The 22,023-nt window shown below is 51.7% G+C and overlaps 1 protein-coding gene across 4 annotated transcripts in view, besides 1 other annotated feature; it reads right to left on the bottom strand.

The window, feature by feature from the left end:
* Positions 1-22,023, bottom strand: part of OBSCN (obscurin, cytoskeletal calmodulin and titin-interacting RhoGEF) — a 170,833-nt gene that overhangs the window by 32,604 nt on the left and 116,206 nt on the right. For all 4 annotated transcript variants that reach the window (NM_001386125.1, NM_001271223.3, NM_052843.4 and 1 more), the window contains 19 exons: positions 13,335-13,413; positions 12,950-13,074; positions 12,493-12,690; positions 11,729-11,761; positions 11,360-11,458; positions 10,975-11,193; positions 10,422-10,482; positions 10,003-10,073; positions 9,147-9,269; positions 8,890-9,029; positions 8,129-8,329; positions 7,901-7,983; positions 7,247-7,420; positions 6,172-6,328; positions 5,651-5,767; positions 5,385-5,549; positions 5,020-5,178; positions 4,659-4,836; positions 4,041-4,154 (listed from right to left, as the gene is read on the bottom strand). In NM_001386125.1, coding sequence (NP_001373054.1) covers positions 4,041-4,154; positions 4,659-4,836; positions 5,020-5,178; positions 5,385-5,549; positions 5,651-5,767; positions 6,172-6,328; positions 7,247-7,420; positions 7,901-7,983; positions 8,129-8,329; positions 8,890-9,029; positions 9,147-9,269; positions 10,003-10,073; positions 10,422-10,482; positions 10,975-11,193; positions 11,360-11,458; positions 11,729-11,761; positions 12,493-12,690; positions 12,950-13,074; positions 13,335-13,413 — 2,496 coding nt within the window. The remainder of the gene's footprint in view (positions 1-4,040; positions 4,155-4,658; positions 4,837-5,019; positions 5,179-5,384; positions 5,550-5,650; positions 5,768-6,171; positions 6,329-7,246; positions 7,421-7,900; positions 7,984-8,128; positions 8,330-8,889; positions 9,030-9,146; positions 9,270-10,002; positions 10,074-10,421; positions 10,483-10,974; positions 11,194-11,359; positions 11,459-11,728; positions 11,762-12,492; positions 12,691-12,949; positions 13,075-13,334; positions 13,414-22,023) is intronic.
* Positions 4,911-5,205: an enhancer, noted in NCBI's record as "tiled region #4086; HepG2 Activating non-DNase unmatched - State 12:CtcfO, and K562 Activating DNase matched - State 4:PromP". NCBI's record gives its function as "activates a minimal TATA promoter and a strong SV40 promoter by Sharpr-MPRA in HepG2 and K562 cells {active_cell/tissue: HepG2 | K562}" and the evidence as "EXISTENCE:reporter gene assay evidence [ECO:0000049][PMID:27701403]".

Here is a 22,023-nt window from a genome sequence, read left to right as displayed (position 1 = left end):
AAGAATCCAGACAGACAGGCCTAGCGGGGTGTCCCCACTCAGTCTGTTCTCACTAGATCCAACCCTATTTGCCCAATCCTATTTCCACACAGTTGTCCATACTTTATGGAACCTAAGCATTAAAATGGACAGCTTCTTCTGGGTCTTTGGGTCTTCATTCTGAAGGATCCAGTGTCTACACATTCAATAAGTGTGTCTGCCTTTCCTCCTATCTGTCTGCCTTTTGCAAGTGATTGTTTAGTGAACCTGCAGAGGGCCGAGGGGAATGTTCTCCATGGCCCTTAGGCCAGCTGTCCCTCTCCAGGGTCTCTGTGGAGGCCACCTGCTGTGAGGCTGCTTTGGGTCTCCAGCCACACCATGAAAGCGTGTGGCTAACATGAGCCACGTGTGCCACACACACCCCCTGCAGTTTGATGTCCTATGACATCTACCACAAGAGCCACTCAGCAAGGGGATGGCGGTCTGACTGCGCCCACCTCCTACTGGCCTGCGGACCTTTGGAAGGCAGTCCGGTCACCAAGTGCAGCTGTCCCCAGAGAGGAGCTATCTCCTGCAAGCTGCCTACTGGGCTGGTGGTTAGGAAGCAAGGGACAGGGGAGGGCCTCCATCCACAGGGAAACCCAGGCTCTGCCATGACCACCCCTTGGTGGCAGCCTGGTCCAAAGGGAGCGGGGCTCAGGGCATTCAACTGGCTTCTGGCAGGCTTTGATAAAAAAGCTTTTGTTCCTCTTGAACCTAACCTCCCGGAGGAGAGGTCTGGACAGGTGGCAGGAGGGGAGCTCCTAAGACCCCAGGGAGCAGGCGTTAATGACCCACCCAAGCCTTCCTCCAGAAGTATCCCAGGGCAGCCCTCCAAGCCATTGCGTTCATCAGCTCCGACCAGTGGACACTGGGATGGCCCCTCCCACACACCCCGGCAAAACTCCCTGGAGTCCTTCCTCTCCAGCCCCGTCCTCAGTCATGGGCAGACCCGCGGGCCCGGCTGCTATGGACAGGGAGAACAGGAAGGGCTGAGTGCCCAGATGGTGCCTGCAACACCAGGACAGCACTCGGTTATAAGGACTGAACTGGGGGCTTGGAGGCCGGTCAGCCAGGCCAGATGAGGTTCACCTGACAGCCCAGGTGACCCCCTGGGGGGTCATCTGGGAGGTACCATCAATCAGTACTGATGTGTGCCTTCGTAGGAGCCCCCAAATTGTAAACAATAACTGTGTTCTCAAGACTTCCTGTGTGGGAGCCACACACATGTTGGCTGGTGCCTTGGGGTGGTCCAGGGCAGTCCCACAGGCTGGCATCTCCCCTGCTGAGAGGCTTGAGTAAATGCAGCCTGAGTCACACCGGAAGGACGGCATACCAGCCAGCATCAGTCAGATTAGCCAGGATGGCTGAGGGCTGGGCACAAGTGTGGGAAAATCCCCCAGGGGCTGGAGCCTGTGGAAGTAGGGTGGAGCTGGGTCTCTTGGGGCACAATGGCCCACAGTTGGCCAGCCCAGATGCTCCAGACAGCAGCGCTCACACAAGGAGACATTCCAGGACAGTGGAGCAGAGATGCCTCCCTCCCTGGAGACACCCGAGGTGGTGAGATGCAGCCCCTGAAATCCATGGTGCAGCGCATGCATGTGCAGGTTTCTCCCACACCACCCCTGAGAGCTGCGGCAAGAGCCTGTCCTGGCTGCTGCCTCATGTTGAGTGATGAACCATTTCTGTCTTGGACCAACAGGTCTTGTGTCTTGTGTGTGTGTGCAAGTAACTATACATGTATATATGTGTATATGTACCATTTGTGCATGTTTACATGCAGATATGTGTGTAGTACATATGACTGTGTGTACCTATGTATATGGTGGGTCTATGTGTATATATGTGTACTGTGTATGTATGCATGCACATGAATGTGTAGTATTTATGAATATACATGTGTGGTGTCTGCGTGTAGCATGTATGTGTGTTGCATGTATCTGTGCATGTGTATTGTGTATGGTATGTGGCTATGTACATATGTATATGTGTGCAGTATTATCTATGTGTGCACATATGTGTGGTCTCTAATATGTATATTTATATGTGTACAGTGTGTGCATATATGCACATGTGTAGCTGTGTATAAAGTGTGTGTGCATATGTAAAGTATGTACTTGTGTGTGTAATGTGCATACATCTCTGTATGTGTATAGTGCATGTTTGCATGTATCTGTGTATATATCTATGTAGCTGTATAGGTGCATGTAGTGTGCACTTGTGCATGATCCATGTGCATGTGCTATGTGTGCATATATGTGTACCTGTATAATGTGTATCTATGTACATATTCATGTGTGTGGTATGTATTTGTGTATATGTATTGTATACTATGCATGTATGTGTAGTATCTGTATGTGTGACGTGCATCTATGTATATTACACATATAGTGTTAATGTACATGCACGTGTAATGCATATATATGGTGTGTATGTACATATGCATGAGTGTGTAGCATGTATCTATGTGTCGCTATGTACGTGTGCGTACAAGTGTGTGTAATGTGTATGTGTGTAAACCGTGACAGGCTGACTTGCACATGTGTGAGGGGTAGAATGGGAGATTCCACAGTTCTGGGGACCCTGGCAGCCCTGGACGCCCCCTGCCCACTCCCCGTTGGCTTCTCCCTGGCTGGCTTCCTGGGCCCCCACCTCCCTGGCCGCTCCTTCCCCTGGGTTCGTGTCCCCTCATCTCTGCAGACTCTGGAAGTGGGGGCTCTCAAGCCTGGGTGCTTGGGCCTCACCCCTCCACACGCACTCTGCGTCTGCATCGACTGGCAGGTCAGACGCTCCGTGAGCTGACGACGTTCCATTCATCGTTTCCGGCCACATCCCTCTCCTGAGCCCTACTTGTATTTCTCCGACCGCCCCTCAGCGCCTCCGCCTGCATCCCTGCAGGCACCTCGATTCTGCAGGGTCCTCCCAGGCCTGGTGCTTCCTCCTCCCACCCAGCCCTGTCTGCACATCACCCCGCCTCTCCCCAGCCTTCCACCTTTGTAAAAGGAACCACCCTGGTGGATGTCCAGCCCCAACTGTGTGAGCATCTGGATGCCAAGCTCTTTCCACACAGCCAGCCACCCCATCAGCAAATCGGGCCAGTTCAGCCTTCAACACGGCCCTGGAATCCACAGCCACCCCTGAGCCTGGGTCCCCAGCTCCAGCACGGTGGCTCCCAGGCTGGTGTCCCAGGTCCCCTCTTGGCCCTCCCCAGCAGGTTCCTGGCATTACAGACAAGGTGACAGATGACAGAGCCAAACTGTGTCCCTCTGCTGCTGAAACCCAACATGGCTCCAGCACAAGGGAGGATTGATGCTCCCCAGGGAGAGGCCCCCAGCTCCTGGGAGGTGATCTCAGGCTCTTAGGATATCCTGTCTGGTAAAAGCATCTGTTCTCCTTGGGAGCCCTGGGCCACATGGGATCATCTATGCTGACCGTGAGATTTCTGAGATTCCTAGGGGTCCCTGGGCCACGCAGCATCAACTTGGCCTCCAGAAGGGCTGGAGCCCAAGGCCCACCACAGAGCAGTGAGCCAGGATTCCACAGCTGAGCCTGCAAAACCCTGGACACCATGGCCAGGGAAGCACCTGGTTGGCACCATCCCGTGCATGTCGTCACGTGCTGTCACTGGCAGAAATGATTCCCCCCAGGAGGGGACAACTGGAAGTTCATGCATAGTGCCGCCTGGACCTTTCCCTAGGTGGCTCTCCCGGCAGCTAATTTAACCTGGGCCCTTTGGCCACAATCAGCCCTGACTATGGGACTAGCAGCTTTGCAGAGCCGAGTGCCCCCACTGAACTCCCTCCTCTCCAAGCCTCGGCATCTCCGTGTCCCCAACCATGCTGTCTTTGATTCGGAAGGCGGGTGGCAAGTGAACATATAAGGCCTGTCCATGCCCCAGACTCCCAGCCAAATCCCATATTGGGTCCCCAGCCCTCACAGCCTGTTTCTCTCGGGCAGCTCTTTTCTGTTGCAGGGCCTGCATCCTGGACAGGAAGGCCACAGCCCCTGGCCCCGGGGTTTACCTTTGTACCAGCTGATGACAGGCTTGGGTGTGCCCGTCACGCGGCAGGCCAGCTTGACTGTCTCACCCAGCTCGGCTGTGCAGTCGGCCAGCTCCTCTTCAAAGTCCGGGGGCCCTGAGGACACACAACAGCCCTGAGTGCTCTGTGGGGGGACATCGGGCTGCGGCACCCCCAGGTGCACCTGGCAGGTCACCTGCCCTGCACCATGAGCCCCACATCTGATGGTGTGGCCCCTATGGGGACTGTCCCTTGTCACCCCTCATCCAAGGTCCCCACCTGGAGTCAGGTGAGTGAGGCAGGTGCATGTTAAATGGAGAGCAGTGGGGGCTCGGGGGAAGATTCTGTTCTGGTTGAGGAAGCAGACCCCGGGCTGCCAGACCCTTCACAGCCCCTGACATGATCCGGATGGGTGCCTTGAGCTTGGGGACCCCATGGTATCCCCGACCTTGGATCAGGGCCAACCCAACACCCAGCCCAGGGGCTCCCCATGAGGCTGTAGCCGTCTGTCCCAGGAACGAGCCCACCCCTCACACCCACCCAGGCAGGGACCTGTGCGGCTGCAGCCGGGTGCCCCATCCTGGCTCAGCCACCTGGGCCCCCGGGAAGGTGGACACTCACGCCACACAGGCAGGGCCAGACGCTGCTGGATGCCACAGATCTCCTTCACCCACGAGCTCTTGATAATGGCTGTCCGTGCCTGCAGCAGGTACTTGCGCACCGAGTCCTCCCGCTCCTGCCACACCTCGAAGGCGCGGTCATCCCCCTCCACCTGGTCGTTCAGGTCGATGCTGCTCAGCTGTGGGTGGGGGAGGGTGTCAGCACAGGGAGGGGGACACGGGCTGACCATCCTCAACAGATGTGGGACCCGACGAGGAAACATTCAGGCCACCCTGGACCAGCGGCTGCAGGTGTGGCCACTGGCATCCACCCCGGCGCTGAGGGACAGGGAGCCCCGCCCAGCAGCCCAGAGCCTGCAGACCTTCATCATGTTCCGGAACACGTAGCTGACGGTATCGGTGCGGGAGTCTCGCCGGGGCTTGCAGATTACCAGGTGGTTGCGGAAGAGGAACACGTGACGGTTGTGGCCCTTCCAGGGCATGCGGGCCCCCGGTGCACCCTCCCACACGATGAAGTGGCCCTGGGGGAGGGTGTGGGCTGCGGTCAGCCTGTGGTGGGCCAGATTGCCCAGCGGTGCAGGCCCCACAGCCACCCAGGTACCCAGTGCTCTGCCCAACTCATGCACACACCGCCACCTCCTGGCAGCCCCAGATACAAGCCCCCAGCACCCCAATACCCACCCACATCACATGCATCTCCCGGCCCCGGCCCCTGGCCCTCCCCAACCTGGCGGATGGGCTCGCCCAGGGCCTGCAGGGTGCCTGGGTAGTTCTCCATGAGGGACACGTGCAGCTTGTTCTCAGCGCGCTGTGGCAGGGCAGACACCACGGCATAGGCCTGCTCCAGCAGCGCGCAGTTCTGTCTGTTCCGCGCCTTGTTGCGGATCAGCTCCTGGGGCCGGGGCGAAGGTCAGGGCTTAGAATGCTCCACAGGCTGGAACCCAAGAGACCCAGCCTGGGCAGAGGAGGCGGGGCAGGGGAGGTGGTGCCCACCTTCAGCAAGGCCTGGTAGCGCTGCACCCGCTCCACTGGCTGCTCCAGGTAGTGCTGCAGAGGTGGTGGCGGGGGCTGAGAGGGGTCCCCTGCCAACAGGGCCTCCTCCGCGTATTTCTGTGGGAACCAGGAGGGTGGGTTTTAGGGCAGGAGTGCAAGGCCCACTGATGGCTGTGTCCCTGAGAGCTGGAGGGTGGGTCCCCAGGGTGCACACACAGCCTACACCCCAGGTGACAGCTGTCATCACCTCCTGACAGGTGACAAGCACAGGACTTGGGCTGCTGAAGTGGCCTTCCCAGAAGCACAGGGCTGCAAAAGCAGCTCCACCCGCATTTCTGAACTGAGGCCCAAGGGGGGTGCAGGGAGGCTGTGGGCAGTGGCGAGGTCGGGGAAGATGAGCGCAGGCTCTGATGTGGGCAGAACAGGATGAACCTTGGAGGACGCCTGGGCTCAGTGAGCCTTCAAAGGGAGCCAAGGGCAGGCACTGAGGTTCAGGAGCCCATGAGTTCAGGCATGGGCACCTTGTAGAACTCCTGGATGGCCGTGCTGACGACCACCGACTCAGCCTGCACACGCCCCACCAGGAACTCCAGGTACTGCTCAAAGGCCGCCTGGTTCTTGATGAAGCACATGGCCACGTCGTCGTCCGTGTCGCACTGCTGCAACTCCTGCAGGAAGCTGCTGTGAAGGGGGATGGCATCAGGACTCAGCCTGCGCCCCATAGCCTGGCCCTGAGCCCTCACCTCTGGGAGGAAGCTGGCCCCTGCACAAGGGCTGGGGCCCTGTGGCTCCTGGGGTCTGTGAGAGTGTGCGTGCAGACATGTGTGGGCATGCAAATAAGTGCTTGTGTGCCGTGTATGAAAGCTCACATGAATATTACATATGTACATGTATGTGGGCGTGCACATTTGTGGAGGCATGTAAATGTGTATGAGCACACATGTGGTTGCATACACAGGCAGGTGGTGGAGGAAGGAGGTGTTGTATGCTATACGCATGCGTGCATGTATTAAAGTGTGCAGATAAAAGGGTGTGCATGTACATGCTGGGTGTGCACATGTGTGCAGAAGTGCATATGCATAGATGTGCAGAGATAGTGTGGGGGCATGTACATATGTGTGTCCATGTGTATAACATATATACATGTACACAGGCATATATGCGTGTGCACGTCTATAGGCATGCACTGTGTGCACATAGGTGATGTGCACGTGTATGTGGGTGTATGTACTGTGTGCATGTGTGTGCATTTACAGATGTGCACATGTGCCATGCACATGGGTGTATGCTGTTAAAGGCTGCACCTGTACACATGTATGTGTTCATGTGTGCACACGTGTGAGGGTGTGCATGCACTTGGGCCTGCGCACATGCCAGTTAGCAGTTGGTGCACCGCAGGCCTTCCCATGAGTAAGCCAGGTACACATGTCTGGGTTTCTGAGGGGAGGGGTGCTGAGGGATAAATCAAGTCAGCACAGGTTCTCTCCCCCCTTGGCTCCAACCCACCTGCAGGAGGCCTGGCCCTACAGTGTGTCCATGCATGGACGTGTGTGTGTGTGTGTGTGTGTGTGTGTGTGTGTGGCCCCACCCACCCACCTGCTGTGGAAGCGGCCGATGTCCCGCACATTGCGGAAGATGACTGCCTTCTGGCCGGCCACAGCTATGGGCACGTGGGGGCAGCGCTCCAGGTGCTGCAGGTGGTGGCTCTGCAGGAACTGCAGCTCCTCCACGAAGGCCTGCTCAGAACTCAGCAGCTCCTGGATCACAGAGCTGGGCAGGAGGGGGCTGCCGTAAGGGACCACGGAGCTCCTGCTTCCCGTGCAGGGACTGTGGGCCACGAGGCCCCCACTCCCTCAGCTGCTAGATGGGAGCGCCTCCTGCTGCGCAGCCTGTTGCCTGCTCGCAGGAAGTGGGAGAGCAGGTGGAGAGAGGCTCCCTCTTGGACAAGGCCGGCCCCAACATCAGGAAGCCACCCAGATGGGTCCTGCCAGCACGAGGCTGGGAGGGCAGCTGCGGGAACCCAGGCAGCTCTGGGCCTGCTCTGCTGTCCTCGGCCCCCACCCGTCCCTAACAGGCTCACACAGGAGCGCTGTTTCAGAGGCCCCCGCAGAGGAATCAGCATGGCCATGACCCCAAGACCTCCAGGGTTAGGTCCTGGACCCAGAGCCAGGGCAAGCGGCCTGCTTCTTTGGGAGACTGTCCAGCTGGTGGGATGCCAGTGCCACCACCTCCGGCCCGGCAGTCACTCACCTCAGCCTTGCCTTGTATTCGTCTTCAGACACAGCCTCCCCAGGGAACTCAGGGGCCTCAGCGGCCCCCCACTCAGGTGACAGCTGGTGAGGGACAGGAGTTTTCTGTTGGGGTACTGAGCTCTGGCCCTGCCCCGCGGGGATCGGGCTCTCGCCCCTCAAATTGGGACGACCCTGCTAGGGGCCTCCGGGACCCCTGAGGACCCCTCCTGCCTGGCCATTCAGATACCTTGAGCCTCCTGTCCAGGTAGGCTGGTGACACCCAGCCCTGCCGTGAGGGGCTGGACTTGGTGGGCTTGGTGCGGACAAGCCAGCGCAGTGGGTGGGCTGCATCCAGGACCTCCACATACTGGCCTTCCCGCAGCGTGATGGCATCCTGCTCAGCCCCTAGGGGCAGGTAGTCAGCGGTGACCACGTAGATGTCAAAGATCTGAGAGAGGGATGGGGGTGCTGAAGTGGTGAGACCCGGGAGGTGCCAGCCGGGCCTGCCGAGATCCTAAGCCACAGGGCAGGGATCCCCAGAGTCAGCGTGCACACGCCCAGTTCCCCCTCCACGCAGAACAGCGGGAATGTGGGAGACCTCCCCTGCCCCACCCCCAACCTTAGAGGTCACCACAGCCCCAGGGTCTCCAGGCCTGGACTGCCTACACTCAGTTACTTGTTTACCTTCTCCCCATCTCCACACCCACCCCAAGCCCTAACAGGGTGCCTGGTACACTGAGGCCTGAGACACATTCTCCATTGAAGGAACAAAGGAGTGAATGAATGAATCAAACAAATGGCTCTCCCAGAAGGCAAGTCTCTGCCGGGCCCCGTGAGGAGAAGACCCTGTTCTCACCAGTTCCTGCCTCCTATGCACCTTGGTGCGGTCCCACCTCCCTAGAGTCCCATGGGGGTCCTGCCTCCTGAGTCCCTCTCCACCCTGCACCTTCTCTTCAGGAAGGTCAGGGCCTCTCCCTGCCCTGCTCCCAGAGGGTTCCAGCCGCCCACCTCGCCTCGGGCATCGCCGTCCTCTGACTCTGAGGAAGACTCCTGGATGCTGGAGGATGGCCGTGATCGGCCATGGCGGGGGGATGCAGATGGTGTCTTGGAGTCCTCATCACTGTCACCTCCGGGCACCTGCAGCTTGGCTGGGGGTGCAAGGATCATGACACCCTGGCCTGCCTCTGGCTCTCCAGGGCTCAGGGGAAGGGCAAACACCCCAGACACACCCCAGGGACCCTGGCACATGGGCTGCTGCCCCTCACCCTGCGTGATCTTGGCCGATACCATCTCAGTGATCTGGGAGGTCAGTTTCTGCAGGAACTCCTCTGTGCCCACCTCAGCGAGGGACAGGTGGCCGAGGGCCTCCTTGGCAGCCAGAGGCTCTTCTGCGGATACAAACGCTCTGCTCAGGTGGCTGCGTGCCCCTCGGATGTATACCAGGCACCCCATGCCATAGGCCCATGTTGGGCCCTGGGAGCCGATGGTGAACAAAGAGCCAAGGCCTCCCCCGCATAGTGCTGATGTCCAGCAGGGAGATGATGAGACTCAGTGGCCGGCAGGGCAGGAGGCCAGTGGGAACTGGCCAGGATGAGGAGTCACTCTGGCTCATGAGCGTCAAGCCGAGGCGTGACCAATGGGCTGAGAATGTCCAGAGACAGAGGGCACAGCAGGGGCCGCCAGTGGACAGTGGACGAGGGGCACTGGGGACAGAGTCAGCAGAGGCCAGACCTGCGCATCAGGCTGCAGGAGGAGCCGTGGGTCCAAAGCGGGGCTGTGCTGCCTCTGTTCTCAGTGCCCAGCACCTAGGAGTTCTACCCAGACCCAGGTATCTACACAGCCTGCTGGATGTGAGCTCTGTGCCCAGGGCCGGCCCAGGGACCCCACAGGCTCCCGGATCCACGGGGATCAGACATGGTTCTGACACTAACCAAGCCTCAAGTCCAGGCCTAAGAGAACATGGGTTGGTCCTGGCTGTGTGAGCAGGTGTCCCAAGGCTGTGCTGCTCAGGAGGGGCCTCTGAGGCCAGGAGCCACCCCTGGGCAGCCTCCTCCCTGCCCCCAAGCATCAGGGGATCAGCCACCCTGGCCCCTCACAAGCATGCACCCACCCTGACTGTACCTTTCCTCTGCCCACCAAGGTCAGCAAAACTCGCAGTTTCCAACCCCTGTGCTGAGATGGCTTGTGTGGTCCTAAACAGGTGAAGGGGGTGTCCTGAGAGGCCTGGGCTGGACCCCACCACCCTCTGTCCTTATGCAGAAGCTCCTGACAAAAAGAGGGTCTGGGGGCAACAAACCAAGATACCAGAGAAAGAGGCTCCATACCAGAGAGGCCCAACAGAAGCCCTCACTTTACAATGGGGAAACTGAGATGCAGAGAAGGAAGAGAGCTGGCCCAAACCACATGGCCTGCATGGGGCAGAGCCAGGACACGCTCCGGGACAGGTGCTCTCCCCAGGGGCAGCGCTGTCCTGTCCCCCACTCCTAGAGCGTCCTCCCTGGCCCTGACCGGACTGGCCTGGAGGGGCAACCCTCACTCACCCCTGCAGGAAAGTGGAAATCAGCGCTTCCTTCACTTTCTCCTGCTCCTCCACCTTAGGCACTGTCAGGAGGACCGGCAAGCCATCAGACGGTGCTCCCAACCCCAGCACATCTGATTCCAGATCTGGACTGGGTCCCTCCGAAGCCCTGAGCAGGGGCTGTGCCCGAGCTCACCTCCCCATCCCACTCTTGGCCCGTGGTCACCCTGACAGTGATGGGAGGAGAACAGGGGTTCCTGTCCTCAGAGGGGCTAAGCAAGGCCCAGGATGCAGGGGGCTTCAGGAAATGTCTCTGGAGCCAGCGGTGCAGAACCCACGGGGCCTGGGCCCAGAGGCGACTCTGAGGCTCAAAACCACCAGCACCACCAGGGCCTGACCCATTTTGGGGTCTCCCTGGTGCTGTCAGAGAATGAAAAGAGGAAGGAGGGGGTCCCACAGGGTCCCAGCCAAGATGGTGGTGATGGGCAGTGTGCCCCAAGGAGACCCCAAAGCCACCCAGTGCCCACCCCCCATGCCCCAGCCCCCCATCCCCCCATCCCCCCACCCCCACTCACGGCCCGAGACGTGCAGGCTGGCGGAGCAGAGGGCCTGGCCGGCAGCGTTGCTGGCAATGCATGTGTAGGTGCCCTGGTGCTGCCGGCCCACGTCCAGCAGGACCAGGCTGTGCTGCTGCGCAGAGCTGGCCACGGTGTAGCCCGGTGTGTCAGGGCCAATCCACAGCACGCCTCTCTCAGCCTCCTCCCTGAGCCAGTGCACGGTGGGCACCGGGCGTCCTAGGGGCAGGCAGGAGGTGGTGGGTGCACCCCGCCAGGAGCGGGGTCTCTGGAGATAAAGCCCTGCCACAGGCCTTCCCTCGGGATGATGTGAGTGGGGAGGGGGCACCTCTGTCCCATCCCCCAGGGGTGATCTTTCCATAGCTGCGGGCAGGAAACGCCTTACCTTCTACCTTCACAGAGAAGGTGATGCTGGAGCCTTTCTTCACTTTCTTGGGGGTGAACCTCTCCAGCATTCGGGGCGGCACCAGCTGCTCATGCACATCTAGGGGACACAGGCTGGCTGGCAGAGACCTCGGCACAGCCCCCACCGCCCGCCTCCTGGCCCCGGATGATGTCTGCAGACGCCCAGGTGGCTCTCCACAGCCAGCACCTGGACAGCACCACGCTTCCCCCTCGGCCGGGCTGTCTCCTTGCTGCGCCCTCCCTGAGCCAGCCCATGGCCACCCACACCTCCACTGCAGCCAGCCCTAGGCTCAGGCCCTCAGCACCCATGGCCACCTGGCCTCTCCCTGCCTGTCTGGGGCTGCCTCACCTGATGCAGGCTTCTCTTCTGGCTCATCAGGGCCTGAAAGAGGCACTAGAGTCAGACACCCAGCACACACAGGCCCCCACCGTGGCTCCTACCCGGCGCTGTGCGGGTGCCTGGCAGTTCTGCCCCCTACAGTGAGGGAACCCAAGGGCAGCGCTGCTCCCCAAGCAAACGCCCTAACCCCTGCCTGAAACCTGGGCCTTGGAGCCCTGGAACTCTACACACTCAGGTGACAGAGGCAACAGGCCGCATGGACCAGACCCGATGACCCACCACCCACCCTCGCCCTGCCACAGACTCTGTGGCCCCACACTGGAATCAGCACACAACCAAATAATGCTGCCCAGAGCAGCAGAGGACTCACACCTGGAGACGCTGGGGAAAGCTGCAGCAGTGGCAGGACGGGTTTGGGTGAAACTTGGAATGAACTCTCAGTGATCAGAACTTTTTGAACAATAAGGAAGTAGGGTCCTCTAGTCCCAAGCTACCACCGGCTCTGGCTGTGCGTGGATCTACCTAGAGCCGCAGTGTTGACCCACTTTCCTGGGTCAACTTCAACCTCCAGCCTGCCCATCAGTCAGGACAGAGGGCTGCACACCCACTCCTGGAAGGGCCAACTTCCGGCCGCCTGTGCCACTGTGTACCAAGGGGCAATGACCAATGATCCTCGCTGAGGGCCTGATATGGCAGGGTGTGCAGGGGATGTCAGCCCTGGCCAGGATGCTGCCCAGGGCCCAAGTCTCTGCCCGGCCCCTCAGAGCACCCACCTCGAACCAGCAGCCGGGCAGACGAGTAGGCAGCACCCATGGCATTGCTGATATAGGCTGCATACTGGCCAGAGTCCTCCCGGGTGACGGAGATGATCTCCAGGGTGTGCAGGATCTTCTTGTCAGTCATGCGGATGTGGGCAGATGCGGTCAGGGGCTGGCCATCTTTGAACCAGTATAATCTGGGAGCAGGGTAGCCTGGGCCACGGGAGGAGGAGTGGTCAGCCTGGGCTACCACCCACGGGCACTGTGCCCTCCAGATGGGAGACAGATGAAGGCCTGGAGAGAGGGTCCCCACACCACCAGTGACAGAGTGTCAGCCTCCTGCACCCAGGCAGCAGGGATGAGTGACTGCCTGACCCCGCTGCTGGGGTCTCCTTTCAATTGTGGCTGATGGGGTATGGCTCCTTGGCCTCCATCCTGCCATGGCTGTGTCCCCACTCCCTCTCCTTCTCACCTTTCACCTTGAGCTGGAACTTGGCCAGGCGTGTGCCAGGGGCCACCTGGAGGTCTCTCAGCTCCTCCACCACCTGGGGCAGCTGGCCCTCATCAGTGGTGGACTCTGTTCCCTCCTGCTCCCGGCTGGCAGAACAGAAAAGGGGTCAGCCATAAAGCAGGGCATCGAGGGGAGCAGGGCGGGAGGGGTGCTGAGGGGCTTGGGCATGGATGACGCTGGAAGCCCCTGTTTGCTGACTGAGTGGACAGAGACCGCCAGGGCCTGGAGGAAGGCTCCAGGATTGGATGCTGTCAGACCAAGCCCTGCCCTCACCCAGCAGCATCACTCCCCGAGAGGCCCTGCGACGTCAGTCCATGGGGCACAGCCCACCTCTGGCAGCCCCTACCTGGACAGGTAGCCTTGGGCACTGAAGTAGGATGAGGACTCCGTGGCATCTGCTGCAGTGTCATAGTCTGTGCTTGTCACTGGGGAAGGAAGAGGGGAGCTGGAGCAAGGTCTGCCATCCCATCTGCCCCAGCATAAGCTACCGCACCAGGATGGCCTCGGCCCTCAGAGGTCCTGACTACAGAGCCTTGCCCGGGAGCCACTTAGACTTGGGAGCTAGGAAGTCACAGGGGAAACAGCAACATTGTAGCCTCTCCACCTCAGGCTATTACTAGCCCCATTCTTCAAGGCCTATAACTAACTACAAGCCTCTTTGACACAACAAACTAATACCGAATGATCCAGGGGCCTCAGAAGAAACAGTGATAGTGGTAGAACCTTCCAGTTCCATCCTACTAGGGAATAATGGGATGAAAAGATACAGGCCTCAAAACCAGAAGCTAGGACTAGTGTTTCTAGTCAAGATGGAGTGACTGAGGCTGGACTTACCCTCTCTTATGGACTAAATGTTGAGATGCCCCCCAAAGACCATATGCTGAAATACTAACCCCCTATGGATGAAGAGGTGGGCCCTTGGGAGGTATTAGGTGATGAGGGTGGAACTTCCATGGGACCCCAGAGAGCTCCCTCATCCTCTTTCTATCATGTCCTTGCATGATGTATTTTTTCTTCTGTAACAATTTTATTTTATTTTATTTTATTTTTTTTTTTGAGACGGAGTCTCGCTCTGTCGCCCAGGCTGGAGTGCAGTGGCACAATCTCGGCTCACTGCAAGCTCCACCTCGTGGGTTCATGCCTTTCTCCTGCCTCAGCCTCCCAAGCTGGGACCACAGGTGCCTGCCACCATGCCCGGCTAATTTTTTTGTATATTTAGTAGAGACGGGCTTTCACTGTGTTAGCCAGGATGGTCTTGATCTCCTGACCTGGTGATCCACCCGCCTCGGCCTCCCAAAGTGCTGGGATTACAGGCGTGAGCCACCACGCCCGGCCTCTTCTGTAATAAATTTATAATCTTCTTCTGTACTTGCTATTAATCCTATCAATTGGATTTTTTTATCTCTGGAAGTTCTACTTGGGTTTTTAAAATATATTCTGTCTCAACATCACTAATCATCAGGGAAATGCAAATCAAAACCACAATGTGATACCACCTAACTTCTGCAAGGATGGTCATAATAAAAAAGTTAAAAAACAGCAGATGTTGGTGTGGATGCAGTGATCAGGAAACACTTCTACACTGCTGGTGGGAATGTAAACTAGTATAGCCACTGTGGTACAGTGTGGAGATTCCTTAAAGGACTAAAGGTAGAACTATCATTTGCTCTGGCAATCTCACTACTGGGTATCTACCCAGAGGAAAATAAGTCATTATTTGAAAAAGACACTTGCATATGCATGTTTATAGCAGCACAGTTCACAACTGCAAAATCATGGAACCAACCCCAAATGCCCGTCAATCAACGAGTGGACAAATAAACTGTGGTATATATATATATATATATATATATATATATATATATATATATATATATGGTGGAATACTATACAACCATAAAAAGGAATGGATTAACAGCATTTGCAGTGACCTGGATGAGACTGGAGACTATCATTCTAAGTAAGGTAACTCAGCAATGGAAAACCAAACATCATATGTTCTCCCTGATATGTGGGAACTAAGCTATGAGGATGCAAAGGCATAAGAATGATACAACGGACTGACTGGGTACGGTGGCTCATGCCTGTAATCCCAGCACTTTGGGAGGCCGAGGTGGGTGGATCACAAGGTCAGGAGATCGAGACCACGGTGAAACCTCGTCTCTACTAAAAATACAAAAAATTAGCCTGGTGTGGTTGCCGGAGCCTGTAATCCCAGCTACTCTGGAGGCTGAGGCAGGAGAATGGCGTGAACCCAGGAGGTGGAGCTTGCAGTCAGACGAGATCGCGCCACTGCACTCCAGCCTGGGCGACAAAGCAAAACTCCATCTCAAAAAAAAAAAAAAAAGAAAAAGAATGTTTCAGTGGACTTTGGGGACTTGGGGGGAAGCGTGGGAGTGGCGGCGAGGGACTAAAAATATGGTGCAGTGTATACTGTTCAGGTGATGGGTGCACCAAAATCTCACAAATCACCACTAAAGAACTTACTCATGTAACCAAATACCACCTGTACCCCAATAACTTATGGAAAAAATAAAGAACTGAAAAATAAATATTGAGAGATAAAAACATTAAATAAAATATATTCTATGTCTCTACTTTTCTTTTTTTTTGAGACAGAGTCTCACTCTGTCACCCAGGCTGGAGTGCAGCGGTGCAATCATAGCTCACTGCAGCCTCAACCTCCCAGGCTCAAGCAATCCTCTTGCCTTAGCTTCCCAAGTAGCTGGGACTACAGATATACACCACCATGCCTGGCTAATTTTTTTGTATTTTTTTTTTTTGTAGAGACAGGGTCTCACTGTGTTGCCCAGGCTAGTCGTGAACTTCCAGGCTCAAGTGATCCTCCTGCCTAAGCCTCCCAAAATGCTGGGATTACAGTCATGAGCCAAAGTGCACCAGGCCAGGACAGTGATTTCTTAAACACAGGAAACAAACATGAGCCCTATGATTGCTCCAGTTTCCTGCCTTGAATTTGTAGGCTCAGGGAAGGGAAACTGAGGTAGGGCCCAGCAGACTCCTTGAGATGGGAAGATGGAGCTCAGAGTCCTGGGAGACTAAGGCAGCTAGAGTTCACAGACAAAGTACTGGAGAAAAGAAAGCTGTACAGAGAAAGGACCTGCCTCAAGGACTCAGCAGAATACTGATTAGTATCTGCATGTGAGGAAAGACCCACGTGAAAGGATTAGGGGAAACAGTACCAGGAATAGCTCCTGGTTCCACCAGTCAGACTAGAAAAATTCCTAACTCAAAGGGCATTGAGTAGAATACTCAGGAAAGTTCTTGCCTCAGTAGTGGGAAATAATTAGCCCTAGACTGAGCACTGCTCTGGAGCCACCAAAGAAATCATAAAAGCTAGGCCCCAAAGAATAAAATCGCATCCAAGTATCTTCACTGTATCCCAGAACAAAGCTCAAGAAGATATGCAGAAATACAAAATATCCTAATAGGGTAAAGTTTACAATGTCAGGCACTCAATCAAATATCACCAGACATACCAAGAGACAGGAAAAGATGACCCATAAAGTAGAAAATAATCAACTGAAACCAACCCGGAACTGATGCAGATGTTAGAACTGGTAGAGGAGACATGAAAACAGGTATTAGAATTGTATTCTCTGCATTCAAAACGTTAAGTAGAGATGTAGAATATATTTTAAAAGACTCAAGTAGAACTTATAGAGACAAATAATAAAATGAATGAGATTCATAGGATAGATATTACAGAAGAAAAGATAGTAGACATAAAGGCATGAATAAAAACTATGCAAAATGAAAGACACAGGAATTTTTAAAAGTGAAAAGAGCATTAGTGAACTGTATACACTCCATGTGACTTAATATACAGGTAATTGAAGAAAAGAATATTTGAAGCGATAATAATAATATGGCTTAATATACCTGTAATTGAAGAAAAGAATATTTGAAGCAATAATGGTCACAGAAATTCCAAACTTAATGAAAACTCTAAACTCACAGTTCTAAGAGGGTTAACAAAGTCCAACCTCAACAAACATGAAGAAAAGTACACCAAAGAAAATCATAATCAAATTACTCATAACCAGTTATTTTTTTAAATCTTTAAAAATACCTAGAGAATTTTTGCGAAGAAAGTGATAAGCTGATCCTAAAATTCCTATGAAAATGCAAGGCACCCAGAAAAGGCAAAACAATCTTGAAAAAGAAGGAAGTTGGAGGACTTACCCTCCCAATTCCAAAACCCACTACAGAGCTACTGCAATCAGGACAGTGTGGTGCTGGCATAATGAAAGACATTTAGATCAATGAAACAGAATTTAGAGTCCATAAATAAACCCATACATTTAGAGAAAATCAAATTTTGACAAGAATTCCAAGACAATTCAATGGGGAAATAGTCTTTTCAACAAATGGTGCTGAGACAACTGGGTATCCACATTAAAAGAACAAACTTGGGCCCTTACTTCATATCATATACAAAAAAAAAAAAAAAAAAAACCTCAAAATGGACCAAACACTTAAATATATGAGTTACTATAGGCATAGGTGTAACTCTTTATAACCCTGGATTAGGCAATAGTTTCTTAGAAATGACAGCTAAAGCACAAGCAACCAAAGAACAAGTAGATAAATTGTACTTTATTAAAATTTAAAACCTTTGTTGAGGCAGGAGGATCACTTGAGGCCAGGAGTTTGAGGTTACAGTGAGCTATAATTAGACCACTGCCCTCCAGCCTGGGCTACATAGCAAGACCCTGCCTCTACAAAAAAAAATTAAAAAATTAGCTGGGCATAATGGCACACACCTATGGTCCCAGCTACTTGGGAGGGTGAGTCAGGGGGATCACTTGAGCCCAGAAGTTCAAGACTACAGTGAGCTAGGATCATGCTATTGCACTCTAGCCTGGGCAACAGAGTAAGACCTTATCTCAAAAAAAATTTAACACTTTTGTGCCTCAAAGAACACTCTCAAGAAAGTAAAAAGACACGCACAGAATGAGAACATATTTGAAAATCTTTTATCTGATAAGACTCTAGTATCAAGAATATATGAAGAACTCTTACAACTCAAAAATAAAAGACAAATTACCCAATTTTAAAATGTCCAAAAAATTTGAATAGACATTTCTCCAAAGATATACAAATGACCAACCAGCACATGAAAAGTTAGTCACTAGGGAAATGCAAATCAAAACTACAATGAGATACCACTTCATATCCATTAAGATGGCTATAATCAAAAAGATGAACAATAACAAGCCCTGGCAAGGATGTGGCAATATTGAAACCCTTGTACATTGCTGATGGGAATGTAAAATGATGTGGCTACTGTGGAAAAGCTTGGTAGTCCCTCTAGGAGTTCAACCAAGTTGCCACATGACCAAGGAATTCCACTCCTAGGTGTATATACATGAGAGAATTAAAAACATGCTCACACAAACACTCATATACAAATGTTCACTGCAGCATTGTTCATAACAGCCAAAACAACCAATGGATAAATGCCACCTGATAAATGCATAAATACTCCACATACCATGGAATATTTTTCAGCCATAAAAAATGTGTACGATAATAATATATGCCACTACATGGATGGACTTTGTAAACAGTATGCTCAGTGAAAGAAGGCAGACAGAAATGGCCATGTATTGTAGGATTCTATTTATAGGAAATGTCCAGAATAGGTTATCCCATAGAGACAGAAAGTAGATTAGTTATTTCCTGGGGCTGGGGGAATGGGAGAATGGGGAGTAACTGCTAATGGTTTCTTTTCAGGCATGATGAAAATGTTCCAGAATCAGATATTCCAGAACATATTATTAGACAGAAGTGATGGTTGCACAGACCTTGTGAATATACTAAAACCCACTAAATTGAACATTGGTAAATGATGAATTTTATGGTGTGCAAATATGTAAAAAGTTTTAAATCCTTATACAAAGACAAGTTATGTACAGAAAATCAACGACAAGAATGACATTCTAATTCTCACTGGAAACAATGCAAGCTAGAAGACAGTGGAGCAACATCTTTAAAATGTGGAAAGAAAAAAACCGTCCTAGGAAAAACATCTTTCAAAAACAAAAGTGAAGTAGAGACATTTTCTGACACACAAAATCTGAAGGAATTCCAGCATACCCACACTATAAGAAATATTAAAAGATGTCCTCAGGCAGAAGGAAAATGGTATCAGATGGAAATCTAGATCTACACAATGGAATGATGCACTCAGAAATGGAATGATGTGGATAAATATATAAGTTCTTATTTAAGATCATTGACTTTTCTTTAATAGTTCCTTTTCCTTTTTACTTTGGAATAACTGTAAATTCACACGCGGTTCTAAGAAGCGATATAGAGATCCCATTTATTCTTTATCCACCTTCCTGCAATGTCAACATCTCACCAACTACAGTGCAATATCACAACTAGAAGACTGACATTGATGCAATCCATTGATTTTGTTGAGATTTCAAAAGTTTTACAAGAACACAATTGAGTGTATGTTTATATATTTAATTTTATGTAGTAAGATGCAATTTTATCACAGTTATTATACATCAATAGTTCCTTTTTATGGCTGAGTAGCATTCCATAGAATAGATGTACATAGGTGGTTTGTTTAACCATTTACCCATTGAAGGACATTTCGGGTGTTACCAGCCCTTGGCTCTGTTAGGAATAAAGGTGCTATGAACATTTGGGTGCAGGTTTTAGTTTGAATGCAATTTTTTCATTTCTCTGATATAAATGCCAAAAAAAGAGAGAAATTGTTGGGTTATATGGTAAGCACATGGTTAGTTTTGTAAGAGGCTGCCACAGTTTTCAGAGTGGCTGGCCCATTTTACTTTCCCACCAGCAATGTATGAGTGACCCAGTTTCTCTGTATCCTCACTTGCATTTGGTGCTATCACCATTTTTAATTTTAGCCATTCTGGTAGTTATGCAGTGATATCTCATTGGGGTTTTAACTTGACTATCTCTAATGGCTAATGATGTTGAACATCTTTCATATGCTAATTTACCTTCTGCATATCCTCTCCCATGAAATGACTGGATAGTCTTTTGCCCATGTTACAACTGGATTTTTAAAATTCTTTACTGCTTAATTTTGAGCATTCTTTGTATTTATTTAGATAAAAGTCCCTTACAAGATACATAATTTGTGAACATGTTCTTCCAATCTGTAACATTTCATCCTCTACACAGCAGGGTTTTTCTCAGAGCAAAAGTTTTCAATTTTGGTGAGATCCAGTTTACCAGTTTTTCCTTTTATGGATGGTGCTTTAACTGTCAAGTCTAAGAAGTCTTTTCATAGCCTAAGATCCTAAAGATTCTCTGCCATTTTTTTCCCCTAAAAGTTTTATATTTAAGGATGCAATTGATTTTGAGTTAATTTTCATATAAGGTGTGAAGTTTAGGTTAAGGGTCATTTTTTGCCTATGCATGTCCAAATTTCTCCAGCACCAAATTTGTTGAAATTCTATCCTTCCTCCATTTAATTGCTTTTGCACTTTTGTCAAAAATCACTTGGACATATTTGTATGAGTCTAAATCTGTATTCTCCATTTTGTCCCACTGATTTATGTGTCAATCCCTCTACAAATTCCACACTGTCTTTAATACTTAAGCTAAATAGTAAATCTTAACATTAAGTAGAATGGTCCTTCCCATTTTATTCTTGTTTTTCAAAATGGTTTTTAGCTATTTTAAGTTCTGTGCCTTCCCATATACATTTTAGAACAAGCTCATCTGTGTATATAAAAAAATCTTGTTGGGATTTTTATAGGAACTGCATTAAACCTACATATCAATTTGGCATCTTAGCTATGTTGAGTTCCAATCCATGAACATGGTATGTCTCTCTGCTTGTTTAGGTCCTTTCTGTTGTCTTTCATCAGCATTTTGTAATTTTCAGGACACAGATCCAGTAGATGTTTTGTTGTATTTACATCTAAGTTAAAAAAATTTTTTTATTTTAAGCTATTATAAATATTATTGTGTTTTTAATTTTGGTTTCCACGTGTTCATTTTAAGTATATACAAATACTACTGATTTTTGCATGTCAATCTAGTATCTTGTGATCTTCTTGAAACCATTTATTAGTTCTATCTTAGGGCCATCCCATGGCTGCCCATCCAGCCCCAAAGCACCTCCAAAACTGTCTGCCTGGCCTGTGGCATCAGGCTCAACATGGAAGGGGATGGCAGGAAAGAGAAAAGAAATCTTTCTTTAGCATCTCACAGCCTGTACCAGCCAGAGGCTGGAGGACTCAGTGAGACTTTATCAGGCTGAAAGATACAGCATCCTTCTCCTGTCCCAACAACTGCCTTGCAAACCAGCTAACAATTTGTGCTTAACTATGTACCCAGCCTGTTCTACTAAATGTTTTACATGAATCAACTCACTTAACTCTCATAGCTATACCACAAGACAGTTTCCATGATCTCCATTTTCCAGATGAGGAGGCTGAGGCATTGAGTGATAAAGTCACTTCTACCAGATCACATAGCTGGTAAGTAGCAGATCCAGGATTTTACCCAACTCTGTGGCTCCAGAGTCTGTCCCTGAGCTGTTTTCACTCACAACACATCTGATGCCAACTGGATGTACAACACATCCATTCAATTCTGACATTAACTGCCCAAAGTTAGCACAGACCCTAAACATTAACAGAATCAATCTCACAAGTATGTTCTCACTTTAGATGCCAGTTGTAAGTCCCAGATTTCCACCCATACTTTTGACTGAATGGCTGTAAATTGGAGGTTCCTACAACCCTCTTCCTTGTGTTTGATAATTTGCAACAATGGCTCGCAGAACTCAGAAAAGTGCTTTACTTACTACTAATGGTTTACTATAAAGGATATAACTCAGGAATGGCCTCATGGAAAAGATACATAGGGCAAGGTGTGAGGGAGAGGAGCGGCACTTTGCACAACTATCCTGGCACCTCCACGTGTTCAACAGCCCGCAAGCTGCCCAAACATCTTAGTTTATGGGTTTGTATGGAGGCTGCATCACATAGGCATGATAAATTACTTAATCTCCA

This window comes from Homo sapiens, chromosome 1 (genome assembly GCF_000001405.40).
Source record: "Homo sapiens chromosome 1, GRCh38.p14 Primary Assembly".
NCBI lineage: Eukaryota > Metazoa > Chordata > Mammalia > Primates > Hominidae > Homo > Homo sapiens.
Note: the sequence above shows the minus strand (reverse complement) of the source record. Positions and strands in the feature narration are given on the sequence as shown.